Here is a 10,425-nt window from a genome sequence, read left to right as displayed (position 1 = left end):
GATGAAGTTTAAAGTGCCTCTCTCATGTAGCAAGTGAACCTTAGATGAAAAATCCCACTGGGGTAAAAAGAAAGGTAAGTTTTCCACATGGCTGTACATATTTTTAATAAATAAACTAAGATCATTTATTCTTCCTATGTCCCAGTAGCCACCTTTCTGCCACTGTGCAGTTCAATTTACAGAGATTCTGTGACATGTTATTTTTATCTTTATAGTACAAGCATATAGTAGCACAAGGCAGCAACAGAAATGCAAAATCACAGCTTTTTAAGTCCAGACACTTAAAGCTAAAAAATGTCTGGACCTTGCTTTTGTTAGAGCTACACTACACTTTTTGGCCAGCAGCAGGAGGCATTACTGCATCAGAGTCAGAAGAGGCTGTAGGTCTTCTTATGACTTCTTAGGTGTCCCTTCCCATCTGGGTCAAATAATTCCTCTTCTCTGAAACCACCTTTCCCATCTGCATTGCATTGCTCTGCACGAAGGGAGTAGAGTGAGTCTCACATTAGAAGGCAAATTAATTCCCTCTTATTTTACATCTGCACTGAGAATAAGCAGTCTCCAGGCCCTTCATTATTTTGAAACTTATATATACTGTGTTTATAAGGCATCAGTATAACCCATTCATTTGGTCCAATGCATCAATAGAGTAGGAGGATAAAAAGAAAAAGTCAGATTGAATTTACCATTGAAATCCATTATTTTCAACAACCAGAAGAGTTGAATCTCAGTATCCAGTAATTCCATGTCAACAAACACAGTGAGTCTTCAACACTGACTGGGAAGCTGCCACTCTCAGGAGAAAGGACTTATGTAACATTCGTACACATCAGCAAAGGACAGCTTCATGTCAACCCTATGTCATCTGTGTTGTCCACTTCCTTCTTGCACAGATATATAAATAGCATTTTTCAGTGCACAAATATCATTACAGCCCCAACCAAATTAACCTCGCAAATTACACTGTCTCTGGCTAGGAAGCCTGCTTCTTACAGACTGCAGAAGGTGCCCTGGAAAAATGAGGAGGAATTAGTTTATTTTACTTACTACGAAGATTGGAACATACTCTTTAAAAAAAATGACATAAGCATGTGTACCATGTTTCCTGGCTACATGAAGATTAAATTCCTTTATAATTATGCATTTTATGTAATCATTCCAGGGCATAGCTCAAAATATTTGGATTCACATATCCTGTGCAAAGGGGAGCTTTCCACATAAAGAAATACTCTAATTTTATACAATGCCTGTCTCAGACAGGTGGGATGAAAAGAGGTGGAAAGAAGCTACTGCTTGCTTCCTCAGGAGTTTCTATACCCATTAACCTATTTCATCATGAAACTTCTCTGTGCACAGACCATTAAGGTAAAGAAAAAATACTGTTTCATAGTGTGTATGTCAACTGGTAAAAGGGCATCCTCTACCAAATAAATCTTAAATCAAACCCATCATGCAGCCTCTTGTCAATGCTGGGCTCATAGAACTGTGCTTTTCAGATGGTCAGAGGGTGTCTGTTCCTCTAAAATCACCCTTGACCCAAGCGACTGGGCAATGAGGATGATAGATTCGGACTCCCAAGTTCCCATCTAGCACTTAGCTTTGTGCTTTTCTCCTCTTCTATTGACATTGACCTCAGACTCAGCAAGGTACTTGGATTCAGATTCATCCCTGCAAGGATTTGATGACATATTTTTGCAACTCATATCTTTCCTTGACCACACCCTGAAATGCTCTTTTGCTGCAGGATTAAGTAGTGGCCATTTCCATCTCTGACTTTTGGGTTCATACATAGTCATGTGACACGTATTTACTGACTACCTAGTATATGCCAGGTGCCAACTGTGGAGAGTACAATGATGACGAAAATACAGTCTTAATGGAAATGGCCATCTGCTGGGGGATACAGGTGACTAGAAAGACAGTTTATAATCCTTATGTCATAAATACTGTGGGAGGGAACAATTTGGGTTTCATGACGGGAGAAAGGGAAGAGGCCAAGTCAGAACTGGGGGTGGGGGAGTTAACTGGTAGGTGTCCTTAAGGGAGTCTTCCTGGAGGAAGTAGCATGGCCTCTGTCTAAACAATAGGGCTGAGCAGGGTCACAAGTTAGGGTTCTTGTGCAGTTAGGTGAAATGAATTTTCATGGCCGTGTGCATCCAACTTCTTATCTGCCATACTGGTTTCATTCTCGAAATATTTATTCTCAAACATCTTCTCCTTCTTTCTCTCAGTCCTACGACAGAGAACTTAAATAGTTTATTGAATTCCCATGACTTCACCTAAGTAACAGTGGGCCATGTAACACAAAGGAGAGTAAAACTGTGAGGCTCACTCATGGCCGTGGCTGGTAGTGGATGCCGGCAAAGCATCAGCAGAATTTCCTGCGCGTGGCGGCTGTGTTCCTATCCCATTCGTGATATTGTTCATCTGTGCCTTCTCCACCTGTCTTTTTTCTTTAAACTGTCTCCAAAGTTTTGTCTGGTTTATTATTTTTCTTCAAATAACCAGGTTTGGCTTTGCTGATTCTCTGTTATCTTTGTTTTCTATTTTAGTTCGTTAAAATTTCTCCTCTTTATTATACTATCCAATCTACTTTCCTTGGTTTTATTTTATTCCTCCTCCCCTCTCAAATTGTAAAGTTAGACTCTTAAATAATTCATTTTCACTCACTGGTGATATAATTCAATGCTAGAAATTTCCACTAAATATTGCTTTTATTGTTTCACAGAAGATTTAATGTGTAATGTTTTCCTTGTCTCTCAGTTCTATGTATTTTTAAAAATCCATTTGATTTATTCTTTGAGCCATGTGTTCTCCAGAAGAGTGTTTAAAAACACTGCTATAGCTACCCCAGCTCTCGTTTGGTTGGTATATGACTTGTATTTTTTAACTCTGCTTATTTGTGTCCTTATGTGCTAGGTATGTCTCTATAGTTTATGGGCGGATTATTTTTTAAAGTTTTAAAAAATCCAAACTGATAATCCCTGTATTTCTTTTAAATTATTTCTGCCATTTCAGTTCACTTATTCTTTGCCCCCCATTTCCTGTTTTCTTCTTTTGTATTTCTCGCTTTTGTTTTTATAGATTCTTTTTGCTTGTTTTCATTTTATTTCTTCTCTCACATATTTGGAAGTTATAAACCCCCTTTCTATTATTTTATGGCTAACCTTTGAAGTTTTACCATGCACACCTAAAACTTGAAAGATCTTAAGTTAATAACTTGATATCAACTTGAATAATATGTGCTATGATCTGAATGTTTGCATTTTCTGAAAATTTAAATGTTAAAACCTTCACCCCCACAGTGATAGTATTAAGAAGTGGGGGCTTTGGGGTGTGATTAAGTCAGGAGAGTAGAGCATTCATGAACGGGTGTAGTGCCCTTGTAAAATAGGTCCAAAGAAACTTCTCTGCCCTTCCACCATAGGAGGACACAAGAAGGCCCCATCTATGAGAAGGCAAGCCCTAACCAGACATCACATCTGTTTATGCCTTAATCATGGACTTCCCAGCCTCCAGAACAGTGAGAAATACATTTCTGTTCATAAGCTACCCAGTTTATAGTATTTTTGTTATAATAGCCCAAATGGAGTAAGACAATACAGAATTTAGTACACTTTAATTTCAGTCAACAGTTTCTTACTTTATATGATGAAAAATTCTCAATATTGTAGATCTCTTTTTTTTCCAATCACATAAACTGGACATTATTCATATTTTAATTGAGTATAAGCATAATTTTTTAAAGATTTGTTACATGCTTACCAGAGTTTTGCTTATATCCTCTTTCAGTTTTGGATCTTCTTTCTGGAGTCATTTTCCTGCCACTTGAAGGACTGTGAAGTTTTTAGGGGTTATTTTAATGAAATTCTATTTTTTTATAAACTCTCAATTTTTGTTTGTCAAAAATGTCTTTATTTTTCTTTTTGCTCTTGAGGGATAATTTTGTTGTACACAGTTCTGAGTTGAGAGTTATGTTTCAGCACCATGAAGATGTCATTAAACTGCCTTTTGTTTCCCATTATGGCTTTTGAGACATCAGTTTTCCACTAATTATGTTTCTTTTCTTTTGTACAGATCTGTCTTTTTTTCTCTGGCAGCTTTTAAGATGTTCTCTTGGTTTTTGTTTGAAGTTTCACTAAAACTTCAAACAAATGTTTAGAAGTATTTTTTAGAAATGTATTTGGCTATATTAGTAGGGCAGTACAGATATGGGTCCACTTATTTTCCTTCAACTATCCTGGCTCAGTGGATGAGTTTCAGGTTTGTTCTGGATTTCGTTGTGGCTTGCATTTATGCCAAGGGTAACTCTGGGTTTAACATTCCTAATCAGCGTTTGGTTTCAGCTCACTGTTCTAGAGTTTGTTTGTTTGTTTTTAAAGAACCTTCATTCATTAATTTTATTTTAGGGGTTTCCCTTTCTTTTTCAGAATTCTATCAATGCATTAAAGAAGTACATTTGTTATGTAGATCATCTTTTTCTCTCCATTTCATCTCTCTAACCCTCCTTAGCTGGAAAATGTTCTTCACTTTTAGGAACTCATGATTGGAATTGACCCACCTAGAAAATCCAGAATAATCTCCCCATCTCAAGGTCCATAATCTTGATCAAATATGCAAAATCCCCTTTTCCATGTAAGATAACATTCATGGGTTTTGGGGTTTTGGGGCTTAGGGCCTGGGCATGTTAAGGGGGCTGGGGGGTGGATTATTCTGTCTAAATGATTTCTTTCTATGCTTCAGGTTCCTCATCTGTACAATGAGACTAATACCTTCTCAGTTATATTTTGGTGAAGATCCAGACATTGATTTTTAGTGAGGATCAGCTGATGAGGTATGGGTACTTTGCACATTTTAAAGTAATATGCCAGTATGACATATGAATAAAATTGTTAATAAATAATATGCTTGATAGACTTTCTTATTTGACCTTGGGTCTCCAGTGGCCTGAAAAGGATCTAATATTAGATAAATGTTTGCTGAGTGACAACATGCATAATTATTTCTATTTTTGTCTTTTATCTGGGGAAGATCCCATTTTTGTGAGGCTTTAAGAATATATAATTTGTAGCATTCTCTTTAATAAATAAAATATTAAGTCCTAAACATAAAATTAGGCACAGGGCCTTGGAAGGGGCCTGTGCAAATGAGGGGACCTGAAACTTAAGCTTCTTTATCTTTCCCCCAAATCTACCGCTACCTCATCTTTACTGTTTTTTTTTTTTTTCTTTTCATTTTCTTGCTCCTCACTACCTTATTGACTTGCTCTAGTACTTCATTTCTGGCTTTCCTTTTTTTTAATGTTCCTTATCTTGGAAATAAAACCCCATTTCATTAATGTCCTACTGTCTCTGGTCCAATGTGACAGTAACAATGTAAGCTATAAATACATAATTAATGTATTTATTATATATTTATTGTGTGCCCACGACATGCCAGGCACTGGGTTCAAAGCTGTGGACACTAGGATGATGCCACATATTACATTACACAAGTTGTCTGGTCCTGATTGAGTGAAAGAAATCCTGAGGGCAGAGGGTCCTACCCTGGAGATGTACTCAAAGTAGTCTGAGAAAAGTAACTGGAATGCAATTAGAAGGTATGTTAGAAAAAAGTATATCTCACAACCCAACTAACAGAAGAATAAGCAAACGTAGGAAAAAGGAGCATATTTAAAAGCCTAAAGAGTTGGAAGCAAGACAGGTTTTGTCCACATGAGGAAAGAGTACAGGAGCCCAATTAGAATTCAAGTGCTGAGGCCCCGGAGACACAAAGTTGAATCCAGGGCACCTGATGAACTGGATGTGGTACCTAAAAGAAACTTTATAGGACAACACGCCAGTTCTTAAAATGCTGTTATCAATTCACCTTGAAGTCTTAATTTGGCATCAAATCTCTTTCCAGAGATTTTTTTCCCATCAATCTTCTCTCATGTCAAGAAAAACTTAGGTTATTAATCTCTCATAGACACTGTGATGTTTGACACATATTGTATTACTGGGATAAATGGAATTATTAATAGAAATTCCAGGGAACCTGAAGGCTCCTGGGAAACATATTTAAAATGAAAGAGACAGGATTATTTTATTTTATGGAAAGACTTTTAACAAACTTACAGGAAGCACAAGCCACATAACCTTGGCTTTGTCCAATACCACACATTGTGTGCTTAGTATATGTTGGCGCACAATAAACACTTGCCTGTTAAAGGTTTGCCTGGGGTTTTACATACTCAAGGAATTTTCACATGATTTTATATTTTTTTTTCTATAAAACTCTCAGCATTTGGAGAGATGTTATTACTTATTTTGCTTGGAGTTTGTTCTTACTGTCATTGATTTATTCTCTAAACTCCTGATACTATGTATTTTGTTCCAGAAGCTGTGCTATGTGCTGGGGGTGCTAAGATAAATAGATCATAATCTCTGTCTTTTAGAAGTTTCTGGTCCAGGGGGGAAAAAGACCATCAAACAGAGGAATGTTCATATCTACTGAACCAGACCACAGAGAAGGAAGGGCCCACCTGCCTAGAAAGGCAAGGGAAGACCTCCCAAAGACTGTCGTTTTAAAGCTATGTCCCAAAAGGCAAGTGGAGAATTTGTCAGGCAAAGAGAATTAATGGGAGGAAATAATGAATTAATTAAGGTGAAGGAGGGATGGGGTTGGAGAGTAACCATGTGTAAGAACATTAGGTTAGGATTTTCAAGCAGCTTAGGTGTTTGGAAGGACAGGAGAGGGTGGCTATTTAAGTCAATAAGGTTGCAAGGCCTAAGGTCATCAGATCTCTTGACAGTGGGTTGAAGTCTTCTCTGCCACTGAACTGTGCTTTCTTACTGGCTTATTTAGCATTATGTTCTGGAGCCTCAGTCCCTAACATATCACAGGCACTCAAATACCACTTTTTCATGCTTTCTCTTATACACACATACCCCTACCCCCACCCACATACTATACACCAGTTATGACAGCTAAACATCACTTGACTAAATTCTTTCTTCAGGGGGTTTTACCATTGTGAGAGGTTTGACTTAAAGAGTCCTACATTTCAAAACCTACTATTTTTTTTTCTAGGGCTCTTGTACTTTTAAATTAATTAGTTTTGATTGGCTTTTGTGTACCTAGGTTGTGTCCTCAGTTACCTGGTAGTGTCCTTTGTGACAAATTGCTTATCTTCTCAAATTTAAGTGCATTTAGGAACTTTAAGTCTGGTTAGTTAATACTGTCATAATGAGTTCTGGATATGTGGGCTAGAGAAAAGTTGAACAGAAAATCATAAGTTACAACTTTTGACAAATTTAAACTACCCATGAAATATTTGACTATATTTCAACAATCATTTCTTCTCTGATTGTTCTCAACTAAAGTAGAAGTACTGAGGAAGATAACATAATATCTCCTCTCTGTTTTCCTCCATTTAGAGCTAATTTTCCACTTGGACAAAGCAAGAGAAAGAAGGAATATCTATAAATAAGATATAATAATAGTTCGTTCAACTGCATTGACTTTGATTTAAAGCAGGAAATTTTCTACCATATTGAAGAAAACATAACATAGCACCCTCTTTCCTTGTAATTTATTTGGCTGTGACTCATTTAATGCAATATTTAATTGGACAGCTGGTTTTCAGTAAATTGTTTTAGTTACCATGAGGAACAACTGCTGTTTACCATCTATCCTTTGTATAGAAAGGAGACACTACAAATAGCATTTGAGTGAATATTTTCAGTGCAGATTTGAAGAAGTCCATGACAATTTTCTACCTTCATACTACTTTGTTCACTCTAGTTTTTGATCTGACTTCTCTAGATAGTGTCCCCCTTTTTTTTTTATCTTGTTTGTCTTTTCTGTAGTCATACTTTATTGTCCTGTATCCCATTCCCTCACAGTTTTACTCCCGATGGAGTGAGAGAATTCAATCTGTAAGCCAAAGCATGTTATTGAGTGGTAGCATGTGAACATGGTAGTCATCCATCTGAAAACACAGGATCATGTCTATCACAGTGGAAATTTTACGTGCTATTTGGGCAGGAGGGAGTGCATTTTTTGTTTATGTGCAGAGCAAAGACTTGTCTCCATCTAATGCATGGATGAGAAGAGGAGAGGTTGAATATAGCTGCAATTATAAGGCCAGATGGAGATGCATAGCACACTTTCAGATTGTGGAGCTTCGAACTAAGTATTGTCTTTCTTCATCCCTGATGAGTATCAATTTTTCCTCTTTTCTTCAAAAGACATGTTAGACCTCAGCAAATACCTGTAACCTTGAGATATTGTCATACTGCTAATGATAGTTTAGCTCTATATAGACCATCTGAAAAGATTTCTTTATGATGGTCTTCCCAGCTGCTTCAGCTGCATACACACAAAATAGATGAATCACATTACTAACAAGGATATTTTCTTAACAGCATGGATTGAGTAGGAGGGGTAGAGGGAGATGGCAATGAAAAAAGGAACTTGATTGCTTCTGTTTGAAATAACTATCTGATTAAAACAACAGCAACAATAATAACACCAACAAAGAGGAAAATATACTCTACCACCAAAAAAAAAAAAAAAAACACAACAATTTTCACTTTGGATGGACCATTTCCTTTGAAATGAAAAGAAAAAATGAAGCAGTTACACCATGGGTGTCCCTAGCACAAGATGTATCCAACCTATAACTTCTGATTACTCAGAAATTCACAGAAAGTAAATTCAGATAGGATTAAGAAAGCCCCTAGGGACTAACAAGTGGAAGAATATTTATTTGTTTGCACCAAATAGTTGACTGAATACTGAATAACTATTAGCTTAAATTGCAATAAACTCAGTTATTTAACTGAGATCTAACAGTTTACATTTTTCTTTTTTTTCTCCTAAGCAGCCTCTGAATAACATCTCTAGAGTATCTCACGAACAGAATGACTATGATCTTCATAACTGAATAGCAGCTAGCAGGATTGTTCAGCAATTTTCTAATTTTTTTTGTTTGTTTTCTAAGATGACACTTGTTAGAATTTAGGAATAGACACTCACAGAGATATTTTTCCCCTTTTGGAAAAGAGTAAAGGGTTGCTTTATCTAGAAACATGCATGTATTTTATGATGAAGGGATAAAGTTTGAAACAGAAGACCAGGTTCTGACTCAGAATTTTGTTTCCTAATCACTGGTTAATCTCCACCTGCCCCTTTTTCCACATCCTTTGGTAGCAAATATGTTGATATTAAGGTTTATCAAGTTACATCAATTGACACATTTAATTTTGTTTTCTGTTGTTTCATGTAGACTATCCCATTAGAGAATACATTTGTAGCCAGAAAACCACCTTGGACTTTTAGGGAGCAATTCCTCCCTAAAAGGGGAGCGATGGTCAGGGCCTTCTGGAATTACTCCTACAAGAATAGGAGCAGGGAAAGAGGATATATTTTGGAGAGGAAGTGGGATATAAAGAGGATATTAGTGCACAAGGATTTAGGATATTAGCTTAAGTAGAGTAAGAAGGACAGAGCTAACAACCCCAATGGGATGAAATGGCTATAATTATTTCTTTGTGTTTCTAGGTATATCTGGAGAAATCATTTGTAATATTAATCTAGAATTGTTTTCTCCCTGAATCTCTGATTCTCTTCCTCTCATTCAACTCAGGGAAGGGATGTTAAAAAGCAGAAAGAACAAATGGCATTCCAATATTTCTGGCTTTTTATTAGTTAGTTTATCTGTCCTTTAAAAGCCCCACAGAGAAGAGAGAATTGGCAGGCTGGACAGAGTATCTTGGCCAGAAGCAGTAGGGAGAGCTGGACTAAAGCCTGTAAGACTAGAGAGATGTGTCCCCACTTGCAAGGAGAAAGCAAGATAGTTTGTAAAAGTCCCTGTGTGGTAGAGACCAAGGCCTCAGTCAACAGAAGTAAGGTTGAGTGGTGGAAAACCCCTGAGAGGAAATGACTGTATGGGGTATTTGAGAAGGTGGTTTCCATGGACAAACTCAGAGAAAGGTTTTATGTCCCAAGTGTGCCTGGCAGGAGTGAGCCAGCATGCCAGAGGGGCCGTGTGGAGAAAGACAGAGGGTGTCTCAGTAGCTGTCTGTGTGTGGACAGATGCTTAAGGATAAGAGAGATCCCACTCCTTAATCCCAAGGCACTCTCTGAGAACCCACTAAGGGACAGAAAATCATGAATGGGACTGAGTTTAAGTTTCCCACTACTCATGCGAGAAAGGCGGCTCTTACAACAAAAAATAAAGTTTTATAATGTAAAGACTGTAGATTTCTTGCTCACCTGAATTTGTGGGCTGAGATTCATACCTGTAAATAGAGTTAAAAAGAACAACCAGTGTGATATTGACATGATGGCTCAAGAGATGGGGATAAGAAGCAAAAGAAGGGAAGGAAAAAGAGCACTACTCATACGAAGTGACAGGTGCTTGAACCATTCTGTCCTGCT

At 37.3% G+C, this 10,425-nt stretch overlaps 2 annotated features.

The window, feature by feature from the left end:
* Positions 406-455: an enhancer, noted in NCBI's record as "active region_1243". NCBI's record gives its function as "activates an Ori minimal core promoter by ATAC-STARR-seq in GM12878 lymphoblastoid cells {active_cell/tissue: GM12878}" and the evidence as "EXISTENCE:reporter gene assay evidence [ECO:0000049][PMID:35858748]".
* Positions 9,818-10,057: an enhancer, noted in NCBI's record as "active region_1242". NCBI's record gives its function as "activates an Ori minimal core promoter by ATAC-STARR-seq in GM12878 lymphoblastoid cells {active_cell/tissue: GM12878}" and the evidence as "EXISTENCE:reporter gene assay evidence [ECO:0000049][PMID:35858748]".

The sequence above is a fragment of the Homo sapiens genome, chromosome 1, assembly GCF_000001405.40.
Source record: "Homo sapiens chromosome 1, GRCh38.p14 Primary Assembly".
NCBI lineage: Eukaryota > Metazoa > Chordata > Mammalia > Primates > Hominidae > Homo > Homo sapiens.
The sequence above is the reverse complement of the archived record's forward strand: the minus strand, read 5'-3'. Positions and strand labels throughout refer to the sequence as shown.